This window comes from Homo sapiens, chromosome 18 (assembly GCF_000001405.40).
Source record: "Homo sapiens chromosome 18, GRCh38.p14 Primary Assembly".
Classification (NCBI taxonomy): Eukaryota; Metazoa; Chordata; class Mammalia; order Primates; family Hominidae; genus Homo; species Homo sapiens.
The window spans coordinates 77,087,025-77,103,987 of NC_000018.10; the positions used below are offsets into that span (position 1 = coordinate 77,087,025).

General features: G+C 49.3%; 1 protein-coding gene and 1 long non-coding RNA gene across 19 annotated transcripts in view, besides 11 other annotated features; both read right to left on the reverse strand.

Moving 5' to 3' along the window:
* Positions 1-16,963, reverse strand: part of MBP (myelin basic protein) — a 154,876-nt gene that overhangs the window by 108,192 nt on the left and 29,721 nt on the right. The gene's annotated exons all lie outside the window — the stretch shown is intronic.
* LOC124904328 (uncharacterized) lies at positions 322-5,839 on the reverse strand. The gene is made up of 2 exons (XR_007066420.1): positions 2,253-5,839; positions 322-2,096 (listed from the first exon to the last, which is right to left on the reverse strand). It is a non-coding gene; the product is annotated as an uncharacterized LOC124904328 (long non-coding RNA).
* Positions 3,325-3,826: an enhancer, noted in NCBI's record as "H3K4me1 hESC enhancer chr18:74802305-74802806 (GRCh37/hg19 assembly coordinates)". NCBI's record gives its function as "activates a minimal SCP1, AML or CMV promoter by ChIP-STARR-seq in primed H9 embryonic stem cells {active_cell/tissue: H9 hESC(primed)}" and the evidence as "EXISTENCE:reporter gene assay evidence [ECO:0000049][PMID:30033119]".
* Positions 3,827-4,326: an enhancer, noted in NCBI's record as "H3K4me1 hESC enhancer chr18:74802807-74803306 (GRCh37/hg19 assembly coordinates)". NCBI's record gives its function as "activates a minimal SCP1, AML or CMV promoter by ChIP-STARR-seq in primed H9 embryonic stem cells {active_cell/tissue: H9 hESC(primed)}" and the evidence as "EXISTENCE:reporter gene assay evidence [ECO:0000049][PMID:30033119]".
* Positions 5,231-5,738: an enhancer, noted in NCBI's record as "H3K27ac-H3K4me1 hESC enhancer chr18:74804211-74804718 (GRCh37/hg19 assembly coordinates)". NCBI's record gives its function as "activates a minimal SCP1, AML or CMV promoter by ChIP-STARR-seq in naive H9 embryonic stem cells {active_cell/tissue: H9 hESC(naive)}" and the evidence as "EXISTENCE:reporter gene assay evidence [ECO:0000049][PMID:30033119]".
* Positions 9,622-10,380: an enhancer, noted in NCBI's record as "OCT4-NANOG-H3K27ac-H3K4me1 hESC enhancer chr18:74808602-74809360 (GRCh37/hg19 assembly coordinates)". NCBI's record gives its function as "activates a minimal SCP1, AML or CMV promoter by ChIP-STARR-seq in primed H9 embryonic stem cells {active_cell/tissue: H9 hESC(primed)}" and the evidence as "EXISTENCE:reporter gene assay evidence [ECO:0000049][PMID:30033119]".
* Positions 10,381-11,138: an enhancer, noted in NCBI's record as "OCT4-NANOG-H3K27ac-H3K4me1 hESC enhancer chr18:74809361-74810118 (GRCh37/hg19 assembly coordinates)". NCBI's record gives its function as "activates a minimal SCP1, AML or CMV promoter by ChIP-STARR-seq in naive H9 embryonic stem cells {active_cell/tissue: H9 hESC(naive)}" and the evidence as "EXISTENCE:reporter gene assay evidence [ECO:0000049][PMID:30033119]".
* Positions 12,633-12,852: an enhancer, noted in NCBI's record as "active region_13525". NCBI's record gives its function as "activates an Ori minimal core promoter by ATAC-STARR-seq in GM12878 lymphoblastoid cells {active_cell/tissue: GM12878}" and the evidence as "EXISTENCE:reporter gene assay evidence [ECO:0000049][PMID:35858748]".
* Positions 12,633-13,413: a biological region, named in NCBI's record as "H3K27ac-H3K4me1 hESC enhancer GRCh37_chr18:74811635-74812393".
* Positions 12,655-13,413: an enhancer, noted in NCBI's record as "H3K27ac-H3K4me1 hESC enhancer chr18:74811635-74812393 (GRCh37/hg19 assembly coordinates)". NCBI's record gives its function as "activates a minimal SCP1, AML or CMV promoter by ChIP-STARR-seq in naive H9 embryonic stem cells {active_cell/tissue: H9 hESC(naive)}" and the evidence as "EXISTENCE:reporter gene assay evidence [ECO:0000049][PMID:30033119]".
* Positions 14,517-14,646: an enhancer, noted in NCBI's record as "active region_13526". NCBI's record gives its function as "activates an Ori minimal core promoter by ATAC-STARR-seq in GM12878 lymphoblastoid cells {active_cell/tissue: GM12878}" and the evidence as "EXISTENCE:reporter gene assay evidence [ECO:0000049][PMID:35858748]".
* Positions 14,737-14,806: an enhancer, noted in NCBI's record as "active region_13527". NCBI's record gives its function as "activates an Ori minimal core promoter by ATAC-STARR-seq in GM12878 lymphoblastoid cells {active_cell/tissue: GM12878}" and the evidence as "EXISTENCE:reporter gene assay evidence [ECO:0000049][PMID:35858748]".
* Positions 15,097-15,216: a silencer, noted in NCBI's record as "silent region_9563". NCBI's record gives its function as "represses an Ori minimal core promoter by ATAC-STARR-seq in GM12878 lymphoblastoid cells {active_cell/tissue: GM12878}" and the evidence as "EXISTENCE:reporter gene assay evidence [ECO:0000049][PMID:35858748]".

Sequence of the window (16,963 nt, forward strand, 5' to 3'; positions counted from 1 at the left end):
AAGTATAAAAATAAATGGTTCATCAATCACTACAGCCCCTTTATTAATTCCATAGAAAAAAAAAACAACAACAACGAAGACACATGCTTTTGGATGCGAAGCACTGGCAGAGCCCTTGCCACCGCAAACGGAAAGAGGGAGGGACTCCTGACCCATCCAGGAGGCGAAATAGCCCCGCGGCAGCGCCCCACCCCTCTGCCCTGCCCCTTAGGGAAAACCCCCGCGGAGCCTGGCGGGGAGGAACACGCGACCTTCGCACTCACCTGGCGCGGCCAGGTCTCCCTGGCCCCAGAAAAAGGCCAACATTGATGATGACCTTACCTTTAAAAGAAAATAAGACGTTTGTATTCCCCACTCCCATTTTTTTCTTTTTTTTCTGCTTTGGCCACCCGCGGCAGGTGGTGCAGCAGCCCCGCTCTGAGCAGGGATCCGCGGAGCTCGCCAGCCCTAGACCGGATCCCAGGGAGGAGGCGCGGCCGGAGCCAAAGCGCAGAGGCCTCCCTCCCTCGCGCGCCGGGTCGCACTTCATTCCTGCACAGGCAGAATCATCTGGCTTCTGCAAAGCAGTCGCGCAGCGCTGTAGGGTGAGGCCGGCGTGGGAATCTAGGGAAGGCTGGAGGCAAACACCGCAGGAGGAGGGGAGGGGAGGGGAGGCGAGCCGGGAGGCCTGGGGAGGGGAGCCTGGGCGCGCCCCGGGCAGCTCCTCTTGGGCCGGGTTCCTCCTTCCAGGCAGGCGCTGGGATGGGGCCTTCTCCTCCCAGGGTCGCCCTGGGGACAGGTCCCGGGGCAGCTGGGAGCACCCCACGCACGTGGGCTGGGATCCCCGCTTCCCACTTGCGCGCTCCTGCTGCCTGGGAGGCCACCGCTGACACCCCGCGGGGCAGGGGATGGGGCAGGGGTCTCCGGGGACTTCCACAGCCTATGTCCACGCGGCGCCTGGAGGGGAGCGGGAGGAGCAGGCAGGTTCCCACCCTCCGAGCCCAGGCAAGGAACGGCCTTGGCGAGGGAGCCCGGGCCCTCCAGGCCACACCTACGGGGCTCCTAAGGCCGGGTTCTCGCCCACAGCAGAGACCCTGGCCACGCATGGCCACCTGGCCTCCGGGATGCGTCTTCGAGTGCTGGGGCCTCAATAAACAAATACTGTAGCCTGGGTGCTATAAACCACAGAAAACCCTTCCTACCGGTTCTGCAGGCTGGGAAGAGGTGGCTTTGGTGAGGGCCCCGGGCATCCCTCAGGGACAGTGCCTTCCAGCTGCGTCCACGTCCAGCAGAAGGGGCGAGGGAACCCCCAGCCCCTTTAATGAGGGCAGGACCCATCCATGAAGGAGGGGCCTGTGGACTTAACTGCACCCCAAAGACCCACCTCTTAACATTGTCACGTTGGGTGCTAGGTACCAACGTATGACTGTTGGGGCCACCAACCTTCAGGGCACACCAGATGCTCAGTTTTTAATGTTGTCACAGGCCCATAACCTTCTTACATACAAAAAAATTGGGAAACATTATTCTGGTATGATGCATGCGTATGATAATAATCACATGCAGATTAAAATGTTCTAGAGATATTGTAAATCATTAGCATTGGGTAAAGTTGCCATTATTAAACAGTTTTTTTGTGCTTCTTTATTTCTCTAAAACAAACTGGTTTTTATAATAATACAAAAGATCAGTAGGATAAAAAAATTTTTTTTGAATAAAACTTTACAAATCCACCTTTTATATTCAAATCATTAATGATCCCTGCAGTGGGTTGTGTCCCTTTTCCCCCAAAAATAATATGCCCAAGTCCTAGCCCCTAGCGCCTTGAAGATGTCCTTATTTGGAAACAGAGTCTTTGCAGATTTAATGAAGTTAAGGATCTCCAGATGAGATCAGTCTGCATGGGCTACAAGGCCTAAAATCAAGGCCTGAGTCTATGTGTGGACACTCCCCTGCTCCGATGGACAAGGCCCAGGCCACCCACCCTCCTTGTCACAGGGCCTGGCGCAGTGGTGCTCACCTTGCATCACAGGCCTTGGTTCCCTGACAGCTGGCGGAATTATTCACGTAGCCTGTCACATCCTCCCACGGGACACAGGGCACCTGCCTTCTTCATACTACAAAGGACACAGAGGGCACTGCCTTCTCCGAACTACACGGCCTGCCTTCCACAGCCCCTGGGTGTTCATTCCATTCCTAGGTGTGACCCCTGTGTGGCCCTGGCTGGCAGGCCCTGTCTCCCTCCCTCGGGCTGTGAGTGACTCACACCTCACCTGGCCAGTGTCAGATGTCAAGTGTGCGGCCATTTCCATGGCCCCAGGGCAGGAATTCCTGCCTCACCAGACCCGGTTATCCAGGTATGCCCTGATCCAATGACTAGTGTCCTAAGGAGAGAAGACAGAGAGCTACACAAAGAAGAGAAGAGGCAGGGAGAAGGCAGGGGCAGAAACTGGAGAGAAGGGACACAGCCTCAAGGCACAAAACGTGGCAGGAGCCTCCAGAAGCCCTGAGGGGCAGCAGGGGTTCTCCCACAGAGCCTCCGCCTCAGGCAGGGGAACATGACCCTGCCCACACCTTGATGTCAGACTTCTGGCCTCCAGGTCCCTAAGAAAATAAATTCCTGTTGTTTTAGGCATTCAGCATGTGGCAGTTCGTGGGAGTAGCCGCTCTTGGGCTCTTGGAGGCTACAGTACTTTTCAGGCCGGAGGGTCCCATCCTGCCGTGACTTTTACGAATATTTTCTTCTTGGTCTGACAGCAAAAATACAGCATAGGGAGTCTGGCTGGTGCATCTGCCTGAAATATCTGCAGGAGGTGATGAGAAGTCAGTTCAGGCCCTTGTCTCTTCTTGCCCTAGCTCCTAGGCATGCATTCCAAAACCCAAGGCTCAGGGGTGTCCCCACATCACCTAGAATGGCATCTTCATCTGTGTCCCTGGCTGTGACAGGATAGTCAGACACTCACAGATCAGACAGTACTGCTGGTACACCTCCAAGTCTTGGTGGGATTTGCTGAACTGTGACCTGCAGCTTTGCAGGTGCAGGTGAAGGCAGCGGCCTTCTGTGCAGTGTGGCCTTGCTCTCCCTGGTCAGCAGACACATGGAGACCCACCTGTCAGAGGGGCCTCAGCCTTAAACGAAGGTGTAAACTGGCCTCGGGGAGAGTCCTGGGGCCAGTAGTAATGTCTAGCCCCCGTTGCCTGAGGTTGAGACAAACGTGCTTTCCTCCTTTTCAAAACAAAGTCGCAACTCTAGCAAGCATGAAATTAAACGTTACTAAATTAAAATCAGAGACATCTCTGTACCCTCACATCCTACCATTTGCCTCAGCCGACAACGTGCTATTCACACTCACGTGTCCATACCAAACAACACTGTTTGGATCCATGCTTTCACCAGCTACCACTCTGAGTCTCAGCTCCTCTTTACAGCAAAACTTCTCAAAACAGACTTCCATACACACCAATCCAATCTCCTCCTGCCATTTCCTCGCCAACAAAACACTGATTGGGTTTTCACCACTGAGGTGGCTCTGTCCCTGCAGCTGTGACCTCCCGGTGCACCCGCAATGCCAGTCCTCAGTCTCCATCTCTCTTAGACTCCCGGGTGTCTGATGGCCCCATGCTCTCTCCTTGGTGGGACGTTTCCTAACACCTCACTTTGGACACGTCTATCCTCCCGGCTCTCGGGCTTTCCTTATCAGCCTCACCTTCCTGACCCCGGGATGGTGAAGTCCAGGCTCAGCGGCGGACTCTCCTCTCTGAACCCATGTCCTCTAGCACTGTGTCTGCTGTGCTCCCCCTGCCTATCTGCAGGACAACCGGGGAGTCTCAACCTAAATGACTCTCCCCTCGTTCCCCTGGAGGAGAAGAGAAGGGGCGACCTCACACAGGACCAGGGCCGGACGGGGCAGAAGGGAGGAAGAGTTCCCGTGCTGGCACAGAGGTGGCAGGGGGAGGCAGCAGTGCAGCTGGAGCCCAGGCCTGCTGTGAGAGGGCAGAGAGTGAGCCTGGGCTGTGCTCACAGGACATTCCTCAAACTCATTCCTAAAAGAGGTAAATTCCTACCACACATTCGAAAACAACATACAAGCTAGCCCTTTACGTGAACATTTCTAGACACTGGTGTTTTGTTAAGTGCCTCAATGCAATTATGAGATCATACAGTGAGGTTGCACACACAGCTAACAATGATCTACACTGCACTTATCCTAAATCACTGTGGATAATTAGTATAATTACAAAATTGCCTGACTTACAGTTTGTATTTGGTTATATATGAATTGTGCTCAAGCATAATTTAGGATGCATTCAATAAATTATTTAATATTTAATAAATTCTTTAGTAGCAAGGACTCTGTTTTCCAAGTATCAAAGGCTGCAGAAATGTAATATTGAATTTTATTTATAATTATATGATAATTACATTTTAAAATATGATAATTAGATTAATACAGACATCAAACTACAGTGAAGAGAATGACAGGTAGGAACCACCCAGGTGCAGAGCTAGGGCTGAGTGCGGGAAGAGGCCACACAGTGTTCAAGGGCACTCGCCACGGATGACGTCTGCAGGGCAAGAGAAACCACACACACACACACACACACACCCACCCACCCACACCCCTATACAGGTATACACACCACAAACACACATGCACACATGCGTGAACACACATGTATACACCCCCACATCACCATACATGCAAACACACCACATACACACATATACACACCACAAATACATCCCATACATGTATATATGCCACACACACACCACACACACATCCTCATACATGTATACACACCACAGACACACACCCGCACATGTATACACACCACACACCCATACATACATGTACACACGTGCACATACCACATATGCACAGTTACAAACACAGAGATATAATTTTTCACAAACATATTCCATTATATAAAAAGTCTCACTTCCAAATTTAAACTTTTAAAACCAGATTGCCGAAGATAGGGAACATCATTCTGAAAGCTGGATTTTTTAGGTTTCATCTCATTTAAAACATTTTAAGTGCATTTTATTAAATATAAAAAAGTTCTTTCCTAATAGTAAAAGCAAGCACAGATTTTAGACGAAAGGGCGTGCTTTCCACTTCCAGAGTCTAAAATAAACCTGTCTCTGCACAGCTGCAATTACACGGCGGCGTTTCCGAAATGACCTGGCACAGTGCGCGGCGCCTCACATAGGCCCAGGGCCGCGGCCAGCGCTGAGCAGACTGGTGACTAGAAGCAGCTCCCCGTCGGGCTGCACCCTCCCTCTGTCCCTCGCGGGGGCATCTGCAGAAGGGCACTGAATGCGCTCCCCACCCCAGGAAACCCAGCCCCTCCACTCTTCCAGGAAGGAGCGTCGTCATGGCCACACAGGCAGGGAATAACTGATGCACAGAATTCAGCCGGGCCGCACTCAGCACCGCGCTCTCCAGATGCAAACGGACACACGCAAACCGGCCCCAGACTCGAGAATTCGTCCGCAGAGATGCATCCACTACAACTCAAACATCATTCCACCTTAAAAACCCTGCTTAATGACATCAGCCCTGCTCTGCCGGTTTTGTGGCCTCTTTGACACAGGCCGAGATCCTCCCTTCTCTGGCCTCCCCGCTGGCTGCCAGATCTCACCAAGCCACAAGTTACAGACGCAGGGTGCAACTGAGGAACATGATCAGTGAAGGAAGAAATAAGGAAGGGGGAGCTTTACGAGTCCAGCTAAAAACAAGAGGACAAACTAGCCAGACCCCTCGGAGAAGCAGGCTCCTCATTTCACGAAATCGGCCGTTTCCTTCAGCAGCTCCCCTGACCCCCGTTACAGTCTGTGACGATGACGAGAGACACGCCTGCTGCCCTGCTCAGTGGGGAACACACCGGCCCCGCGTGCGTATTTCGCTGTTTCTGACTTCACACAAAGAACTGTTGTTATGTTTCCATCACTTACACGCAGCAACCAGCATTCAATGTTGTGCTCTCAAAGTCTGTTTAAAGTTGGCTGCTTGCAAACTGGGCCATAGTTTCTGACAAAAATGATGCTGGTAAGCTAACTCCCAGGCCGAGAATGCCCATGCTGTGGGCAAAAGAACAGTGCCCGCCCCTGGGTTGTCTGAGCAGAAGCTGGATTGTGTGCCTGGAGCCCTGTCGCCCTCAGCCAGACCCGGGGTCGAGGCTGGGCCGGCTCTCCGGGAGCATCAGGGATCCGGTTGGAGAGAGGCTCATACGGCGGTCCCAGGGGCCACCTCGAGGGGGTTGACCGGAGCTGGGTCTGGGAGCTGCAGCAGAGGGAAGGCGGCATGAGGAGAGAGCCGCAGGTGGGGCGTGTGCACAAAGTGCAGGTGTGTGGAGGCCCTGTGGGTTTACATTGCCCTGAGGCACCACTTCACGATCACCCCATTATTTTTAATAAAGGTTGTGGAGAGGCTGCCCTTGTTTGCTAATTACGCCTTATATCTTTAATCATTGCATTCCAACTTAACAAAGGGATTTTAACAAAGGTCACCGTTTATCAGATGAAGCCAAATGCCCACTTCCCTGCCTCCAAAACCAGAATGACCTTCAGGTGTGCTTTCCACCAAGCATGGACGAGAGACTTCCTTCGTGAATCTCCTCCAGAAGCAAAACATTACTGACTCAAAACGTTTGAGAGGCTGCTATCAAGGGTGAACCTCGTAAGATTGTTCTCTGATATCACTAAGAAATTCTGCATGTCAAACACAACATTCACAAGAAATTCCCACGGGCGGGCGCTGCAACTGCTGGACACCCCGCCCAGCAGCCTGAAAGCACGCTCACGCCTTAGGGGAGGCTGCTGGCTCCCAAATGCAAACACAGTTTCATAAAACCACACCAGTACCATGCCTTACGCTCATTCTCAAGTCAGACATGGCTCCATTTGGGGTTTTTCTTACTGTAACCAGGTTATTGACTATTCACGGGTTTTTAAAGGGTCTTTTTTTCTTCTTTTTTTTTTTTTGACACGGAGTCTCGCTCTGTCGCCCAGGCTGGAGTGCAGTGGTGCAATCTCGGCTCACTGCAACCTCCACCTCCTGGGTTCAAGTGATTCTCCTGCCTCAGCCTCCGGAGTAGCTGGGATTACAGGTGTTCACCACTACACCTGGCTAATTTTGTATTTTTAATAGAGATGGGTTTTCACCATGTTGGCCAGGCTGGTCTTGAACTCCTGACCTCGTGATCTGCCTGCCTTGGCCTCCCAAAGTGCTGGGATTACAGGCGTGAGCCACTGAGCCCAGCCTAAAGTTTCTCTTTAAAAGGATGCCTTTTCTATATTATTTTATTCCTCTCTTTAGGAGCTCACTGAAGTTTTATGGAAGCACCACACAAGTCAGCAGGGTGGGCTTTGGGGGGTGCATCACATCCAGAGGCAGTCCACACAAGGTTCCGTTGCTCATAAGTGCCGGTTCCCGGACTCTGCAGGAGGCACACCTTAACGGGGACACTTTACTGCGGGTGCCACGTTAAATGACGACTGTAGGACTCTCCCACGTTGAGGTGAGCACAGGAGAGCTTACTTGTACATTTGTGCTATGGTTTACAGCACGCCAGCATTGTCTTTTTCTATTTGGGGCATTCATAAATGTGACTGTATTTTTCAGAGAAGTTTACCTCTGAACTCAAAATTAACTTTTGTATGATTTTGGGAAACACCCCAATTTTTCTCATGACAAACAGAGCTAATACCTGTCTAGTAGGGCAATGGGAGAATAAGGGTCGCCACAGCCAGCACACAGGAGAGCTCTGTTGTCCCAGGGGGGAGCCACTCGCAACTGTGGCCACTTCCATCTAAATCGCTTAAAAATATGACATTAAAAACACAGTTGTTCAGTTATAAGGGTCTCGTTTCGTGTGCTGTGGGCCACATGTGTCTAGAGGCTAACGTGTCACCAGGCAGCACAAATATAGAACATCTCCATTATGGCAGAACATCCCACTGGAGGTGCTGCAGGGGAGTGTCTTGATAGTAAGTTACCAACAAATGCGAGCTGTGACCACGTTGTGTGGCCATTTTAATGCACTTCTGCCTACTAAGAGATCGTCTAATATTCTGCTATTGAGTTCAAGAGTTTTCTAGAGGTTTGTCATGTGGGAGGTGTGTGTGAAAGAGTTCTAAACTCTGCTGAAGATAAGGTACAGTAAAAAGCCTGTCGGCACCCACACAATCTAAGAATTTTCCAGGCATTTCTCAGTGCCTGCATGTGTCCAAGTGTCAGGTGAGATCAGTGAGTGTCTTTAGCCCCTACTTTTCAGTTCCCTAAGCCTTTAAACATATATTAAATGGCCAATTTAAGAATTACATGAGTTCTCAAAAAATCTGCTTATGTGACTTACCTATAAAGTAGAAATTTTACACGTACAGATCTGTCAATTGCCAGCACACTGCAGTCAGATCAGAAAGGAAGAATTTCCCAGGGAATTTGGCGCTCAATGGCATGACAGCCGTGTCACAGCAATCCAGGTGTGGGTTTGGGTGACCGGAAGGAAGTGACTTTCTGAGTGATCTGGCTTTCCTTTCTGTGAAATGGTTATGGTGACAGGGGTCGGTTTCAACACATAATTGCAAGAGGAAGTGTAAGGGAGGGACAAACAGCGCATTGGATTTGGAGGTTTGATGGGTCTGGGCTTCAGTTGCACCTCTGCTGTTCTCCAGGGAGGATGGATGGCTTTTCCTGCCCCCTTCACATTTATGTGCTCAGATGTCACCCAGTCTTGTGGCTTCTGGACCTGCCTCTGGGCAGGGGAATGTCTGGAGATGTTCCGTAGACACCCCAGGCAGTTAGGATTCATTCTTTTAACAAACAGTTCCTCAACGTCAGCACCCGCCATGTGCACGCACCATTTGGGCCTGAGGACACCTCCGTCAGCAAAAACAAAGTTTACGCTCACTGGACTTAATTTTACTGCAGAGAGAGATGATTGCATAAAGCAGCTGTGAGCCAGTGATGGCTTAAAATATAATTATTTTTCATTCCTGAGGATGATATGACAAGAACAGAACTCACTAAAGATGTTAAATACCCTGACAATCTCTTGCACGTAGGATAAAATGTTGCAGGATTTATGATTCCATAAAGGAATGGCCGTGAGAAAATAACTCCTAGTTGGAAAAAGTCAGTGACATTTCACAGCTGGGCTGTCAGTAGTTTTAAAGGAAAAGCATTTTTCCCATCAAAGTGAAAGATTCTATTTACATGTTGATGGAAAGAGCTGAATTGCTTCAATGCCTTTGTGTATATTTGCAAACTAAATGTCTCATTTCTCAGAATGTCATTTTAATAGTATCTGGAGAGTGTCATCAAGAAAGAGTTGGGTTTTAATGATAATTAAATATGGAGCAGATTCTGCAGGGGGTGTGATTGCCCCTGGAGAGGTGCAGAGCGTATGCCTCATTCCTCCTGTCTGCAGTTAGATTTGATGTGCAGCTTAAATAAAAAAAAATCAGTTTAATTTGGAACACCAAACAGACCAATAAGTTACTCTCCACTGTAAAATTTACATATGATTTTACAGGCTCTCAGATCTTATTTTTAAGTGTGGTATCTTTTTTCTTAAGCTGATTAAATAGAAAAATCCAGAAATATTGCTAGGCATCTTTGTAGAACCTTTTTGAGCCTGATATGACGACCAGGGAAAGCCCAGTGTCTAGCTTTTCTCAGCCCACCCACAGCTGAAAAGCAGGTTTCCAGACTTATTGCTTGTTAGGTTTTGGAATGTTTTGGAGCTCACCACTTGATTTCACCCATTTTGGGCAAATGTAAGTGTGAAGATAAACTACAAGTTGTGTTTTTATTTTTCAAGGTTCCTGGTTTACTGTTTCTAATTAGCAAGTCTTGTGAGTTTCATATGAGAAAAAGAAATAATAAGGTTTTCAGACCTCTCATCTTCCAGTTCATTCGCCTGTGAACTGAGACAGTGTTCAAAACACCAAAGTGAAAGAATTCAAATGGTGACAAATAACTCAAGGGCACTACAAACCCCTCCTTTGGGTTGGTGGGAAGTGGGGGAGCAGGGAGCACTGGGGAAGGGTACAGGGTCCCCAGAGACCAGGCCTGTTCTGGAACCTTCCACGGACACCCCCCCACCAACAGGGCAACACAAGTGAGCCCCCCACTGTGGGCCAACTCGGGGCAAGGACTCCCCTGATCCTTTGGATAATCGTTCAGGTAAATTCCCAAAGGTCATGGCTCACAGATATTGGGACCCCAGCTCTCTACCTGTGAAGATGGGGTCTGCAGGAGCCAGGCAGAGGGGAGCCCTGTGGCAGCTCTTCCTGTTGTGGACAACTTTCTCCTCCTGGAACCCATCTCTCTTCTTGGCTCTCCTGATAGTTTCCCTCCCTCTCAGCTATCAGTCACCTGGGAGGATTCCATCTCCTCTGCATAACAAAAGATGCCACTGACACTCTTTTCCGCAGGATGTTGCTGCTCTGGGCGATGTCCTAGGGGAGAAGGGAGCTTTGAGCTTCCAGGATTCAAGAGGAAAACAGCTACCCTCGGGAGACAGAGTCTCAGCCAGGGCCATCTGCAGAGCCAGACATCTTCTACACAGCCTGAGACAATTCCAACCTGTGTTAATAAATTGCAGCCTCACCCAGCGGGCATCCTCTCAGAAACTGAGATCTCAGTGGGATGTGTTAGGAGCTGCCAGCCACTCACAGAGACATGGATTCATCACAGAGGGTGGCTGTCTCCCAGCAATCGCTCTGCGAGTTACATTTGGATGGGTCTGCAGAGCCAGGTGTTTTGGAAGGCAGAGCTCTTTGTGGGATAAAGCTGGACTGGGTGGAGCCGGTATTAGGGGGACACCTGGACCCTACAGCCTTGGCGATACTGAGTGGGAGAGGTTTGCAGCAGGTGCCCCAAATCAAATCTTTTTTTTAAAAAAATACAGTATTTAAATATTTGCTTATGCTTGTCTCAACCCTGGGAAGTGGGGAAGGACACCCCTGTCTCTCCCTCTATGTGAGCCCTCCCCGTAGCTTCTCTTGCTGGCCTGTGGGCTCTACAGCCCCAGGGAGTCCTGCTTCTGTCCTGAGCTCTTCATACCCATCACTGCTCTGAGTGTGCTTTTGTAATTTTGTTGGTCTCCTGATTAGACTGTGAGGTATTCTGAGGACAGACACAAGGACTTCCTTTTTTTTTTTTTTTTTTTTTACAATAATAGCAATAAGAAGAAAATTAGTAACACCAAACAACACACAGCACTTGCTATGTACAAGGGGGTGCACCACACATGTGGACTCACTCACTTTACATAATGTTATCATCGTATCATGTTACCATCTTAAGTAAGCACAGAGAGAGAAAGTAACTTGCCCAAGATCACCCAACTAGCTGGTGGTGAAGCCGGAATTTTCATGTACAAAGTTTATCACTGTCCTATGCAGAGTGGGCACATAATAAAAAGTATTTTTAATATGTGTGTGTGGGGATGGATGAATGCAGGAATGAACAAGCATTTAAAACATTCCTTTCAGTCCTAAACAGCTAATTTTCACCTGCATTTGGAAAGAGCACGATCGATCCACTCATGAATTAAAAACAGGCTGTGTGTTGTCAGAGAAAATTCGTGGCAAGACAGCTTGATAAATGTCATGACACCTGCAGGGCTCAGCCACAGCTCTTGGTTCAGAAGCTGTGCTAAGGTCCCAGGTCTGAGCCTTTACCGTAAGGGCTTGGGAGGGCTTTGAGGCACCGCCAAGGCAGGGCAGAGTGGGACGTGGGGCTGGATGCCCTTCGGCAAACATCACTCTCACCGGCCCTAAACGGCCTCTGAGTCTGGGCAGATTTAAACGGGCCGTTCCTTGTTCCTCCTCCGCGCTGCATTTTTATCCACGGCAATCCTTACAACTGCATTTATTAGCCTGACCCACTACCCCCTCCCCTCTTCCTTCCCCCTCCCTCCTCCTTCTCACTCCTCCTTCCCCCTCCCTCTTCTCCTCTTCTCTCCCCTCCTCTCCATCCTCCCCGTCATCCTCCTTCCCTCCTCCTCATCTTTATCGACCCCAACTCACTTCATACAAGGGGAGGGGGAGTGTGTGAAACATTGGACCTGTAAGCATCTCTCAGGGAAAAATATTGGTAATTTACAATTTTTTCTGACTTCTTTAGAAAGTGCTTATTTAACGAGCAATGGGTACCATGCACAAAGGGGATGGTGAACTGCATGACGTACACTATACGGGGGGTCTCAGTGTGTTCTGCCTGGCTATAGATGGCAGGGGGCGTGGGCACGGCCAGGGTTGGAGCTGTGCTGCCCAGACCTACGGTCCCAGCCACGTGTGGCCACCTAGCACCTGAGACGTAGCCAGGCCACACTGCACCATGAGATAAAATATATCCTAGAGTGTGAGGACTTCATGGGAGAAGAATTGTTAACCATTTCATGAACAATTTTTATATGGATTCTATGCTTACATGACATTTGAGGTTTCTTAGGTTAAAGAAAAGACATGACATTAAAATGATTTCCCCTGTCTCTTTCCTCATTTCCTGTGGCCACGAGAAGACTGACGCTCCCACGCAAGGATCGTTTCTGCCCGGCTGTGCCACCTGGGGCTCCAGGCCTGGCTTTGCTCTCTGGCTTCCCCACCATTGGCTACCTGGCCTCGGGCAGGCCCGGCCCAGCTCTGCGACTCAGTGCCTGGGAGAATGAAGATGATCCTTTGAGGGTCCTAAGTATGGGGAGGGCTGCGCAAAGCCATGACTCAGCACGTGGGAGATGAGCGCTCTGCAGATGCACACCTGCCCTGGGGGGAGCCGCCAGCTGGGGCCTGTGGCAGGAGGCAGGAAGAAGGAACCTTGCACAGGAAGGGCCCAACCAGGGTCTGCAGAAGGGAAACCAGGTCTGCTGTCTCCTGAGGACAGGGCAGAGACTGCGTGTGGCTGCTGGTGTGGAGTCCGTTCCCCAGGAGGTGTCAGACATGGCGGCAAATGCCAATCCCAGGACTTTCCTTCTCTACTCTAATTGTGCAGCCGCTGCTGGGGTTTATCAAGTAACACATGTGATAAGCTTAACTGTGATCCTCCTGAATCTATACGTGGATGTCCTAAACCTCACTGCCTCACAACGTGACTGCATTTGGAAATGGTGCCTTTAAAGAGGCCATGACATTAAGATGAGGTCCCACTGGAGTAGGGTGGCCCTGAGCCAACGTGATGCTGTCCTTCTAAGCAGAGATTAGGACACAGACACACACAGAGAGACGACCACTGGAGGACACAGAGAGAAGATGCTTTCTACAAGCCAAGGAGAGGCTGCAGAGGAGACCAACCCTTGGCACCTTGCTGTCAGATTTCCAGTCTTCTGGACTGTGACAGAAGAAATGTCGGTCTTTTAAGCCACCTAGTCTGCTATTTTGTTATGGCAGCCCCAAGAACTCATACAACATACAATGTAGACAATGTCTGCAAAGTCCCTGGCTCACAGGAGGCACTAATACAGTGTTAGCGCTGGCCTAGATAGAATTTGGGGTGTGTGTGTGTGTGTGTGTGTGTGTGTGTGTGTGTGTTTTGTGGTTTTTTCTTTTTTTTGAGACAGGGTCTTACTCTGTTGCCCAGGCTGGAGTGCAGTGGTGTGATCATGGCTCACCGTAGCCTCGACCTCTCCAGGCTCAGGTGATCTTTCCACCTCAGCTTTCCGAGTAGCTGGGACTGTAGGTGCACAGCACCATGCCCAGCTAATTTTTTGATTTTTTTGTAGAGATAAGGTCTCACTTTGTTGTCCAGGCTGGTCTCGAACTCCTAGGCTCAAGCAATCTGCCTGCTTCAGCCTCCCGCAGTGCTGGGATTCCAGGTGTGGGCCACCGCACCTGGCCTCGTTTGGTGTTTTGAACATGTAGTGAATCATCCCCAGGAGGCTTAGCTATCACCAGAAAACCCCAAAGAGTAAGCCCACAGCTCAGCAGATCCACAGCATTCAGAGAAAGCTGAGGGACAAAAGCCACAAGCAGCCTGGCACATGGGCACGTTCTGAGCGCTTGCTGACCCTCCCAAAGGTAACTGCCCAGCCCCTTTGATTCACACTGCCAAAAAGGAATGAATTCCTCCAGTAGCCAGTGAAGCCAAGTGTCTTACGTCCTAAGGACCAAGGACTGCCAGGCAGGCAAAGACTGCCTAAGACAGGGCATCCCTCTGTGGGTGGGTCTTGCCCCCTGCCCCTCTCCTGGCATTGAGGCACGTCCCTGGGTTCTCCAGGGCAGCTGGCACCCTTTCCTTCTTGGGTTCTGCCAAGTTCTGTAGTAAGATGGAGAACCAAATACAAAATGGGCAGAGTGATAGAAAGCTGGTAAATTAGTGAGGCAGGACCATTTGGAAACCAAATTTCCCTGCAACTTAAAAAACACAGGGAGTCAAAGGCAGAACAGGAGTTTCTTCGTTTCTGAGAAGGAGCGCTGTGCCCTGAACCTGCGCCTGCCTGGAGGAAGTTACACTCCATCCGCATGAGTGAATCATGAGTCAGGAGGGCAGGCTGCCCACTCCTCTGATGGGCGGAGTGCTTCTGCCTGAATCTGATGTCTCCTGTTCTGACCCTCAACTGGCCCAGGAAGGTGGCTCAACCACTTGTTACCAGGGACCTGCACCCCATATGAGTGGACTAACACTGCAACTCCAGAAAAGTGTCTTTTTTTCACCAATCAGAGACATTCCACAGTTAACCCTTTAGTTAGTTTCTCTTCCTCTTACATCCTGCCGTGGCTTATTCGGGATGAGAGAGAAGCAAATTTCAAAGCCCTGAGTCACTGAGGGCAAAACTTGCAAAGGAGACTGGAAGCTCCTGCAGGCAACAGACGAGGCCTCCCCACCACCTCCCCAGCAGCCAACGGCACCTAAAGCCTGCTCAGGAAACTGAGCTTTTATGTGAAAAAGAAGTTAGGAAATAGGTATGATTCATTTACTCTTTCGAACATCTGTAAGCCAGTTATGTGCTGGGGATGCTCCAGGCTTAGAGACGGAGGCATCAGAGAGAGGAAAGTTCCCTCCTTGATATAGGAGGGGAAGAAGTCGGATGATAAACAAATCACCAGGATCTGTATCAGAGCACTCAGCCGCAGGCTCTATGACAGCAGAGGAAAGAATCATCTAGTGTGGGTGGGGAGAGGTGGAGAAGGTGGCAGCAGGGTGGGAAGGAGGGGGCCCTCAGCAGCCTGGGCCGGGCAGTGGGGCAGAGGCAGTGTGTGGGGTAGACCGGGCAGCCCCCACCGCAGCTGCCCTCCCTGCTGACAGATCAGTAACCAGCACCTGAAACTGACAGAAACTTTCCTTGACTCTCTCATAAGGGGGAAAAATGCCTCCCAGAATCACACACAGAAATGTGCAGAGTGGTAGGTGACACGGCTGGAGCTCATGTCACGTTTTCTTTTGTGATTCAAGTTTAATGCTCTACTAAGCTATGCAGCATCACAGAACATGTACATGTACTTGGAAGGGCACAAAATATTTCCCATCAAGTTTAAAGGAAAGAAAAAAAAGCTCTTACTTCTTAAAACTACCTACAGGAACCATAGTTTTAACATTTCCAAGTTTTGAGGTTTTTAAATGATCAGAACTTTAAACATGAGATTTCAGAAAACAAAAGCCTCAGCATGGGCTTTGCTATGGCTCAAAATCTTACTCTGATAGCATTAAACAAATTAAAAACATATGTGGGTGTTTTACAGCGTCAAACAACAGGAAAGAAACTGTACACCACAGAGAGGTTTCTTGAAACTGGAGTTGCAAATCAGTCATTCTAAGACTTAAAATACCAACAGTGTTAACAGCCTAGAGGCCTCTGAGCAGAGCTGTTTTTTCCACTTTCACTTTAGGTGAAACTTAATCCTCCTGGTGCAGATACTGTATCCAAGCCATGTTCTTAATAAATTAGTAACTTAATACATTTATGGTTGTTATTGCTAATTATAATGCTGACATTATCAGTAATACAGTTTAAGTATGGGCTGAACAAAATAATGAGTCACCCTCCCATTCAACATTGACTAGAACCATTTACATATTTATAAAATTAGTCTTTCTAAATCCTTAGGTAAGAAACTAAATACTGTTTATCACTTTAATCAAGATAAAATATACACAGGAACAGTATATAGTCACCTACTCGCCTTCCATGGATGATTTGAAAGCAAATCATGGAAAATTACTCATGTGGCTGACATAGAAATTAAGTACAAATCAGAGAAGGCCCCATTTCTTCCAAGTTTATTATTACTATTAAATAAAAACGCACTACAGACCTCAGCGAAGAGGTCTGGAGACTGAAATTCAATTCCGTTCAATTCCGCGGACATTTCTAAAGCATCTGGGTGTAAGTCGGGGGTTCCCCTGACCCTCACCCCGGCCCATCTTCAGCAGCCGGACATTCTAGTGCACCACCATCTGCCTCGAGTTGGAGACACATAATTTTATGTTGAATTAAAGTACCAACGAAATGGAATAATTTCCCTTGAGGGGAAAACATGTATGTTTAAAAAATAAAAAATGTTGAAAAATCAAAAGTATTTTTGCATCAGAGCAAAGGAATTTCATAATCTCTTCCCTCTCCGAGAACCTCCTGATACTTCTGGGAACAATCACACAGCATGGACCAAGAGCAAGGGCCGCCCCCATACAAATTAGGGTGGGTCCACTGTTCTGTGCACACTGGCAGGCTTACTCCTCACAGTCTGAAACAATTCTCTAGTGTAGAGACAGGGGTAGGCAGAGAGACAGACAGCTAGGACCCCTGGGCATTTGTGGTCCTTGTCAACATCATTGGATCATCTGTCCTGAGCGTCTCAGTGGGAAAAGGGTCCAGAACCCCGATTCAGGGCACTACAGGGGAACCGAAGGCAACGTAGAGAATCCAGATCAGACAGAGGAAGCTGATGCCTTCAAATAAGGCGGACAATGGCAAATGCCGTGCTAGAAATACAAAGAAGATGAATTCTTACTAGCCGGAAGGATTCGAATGACTT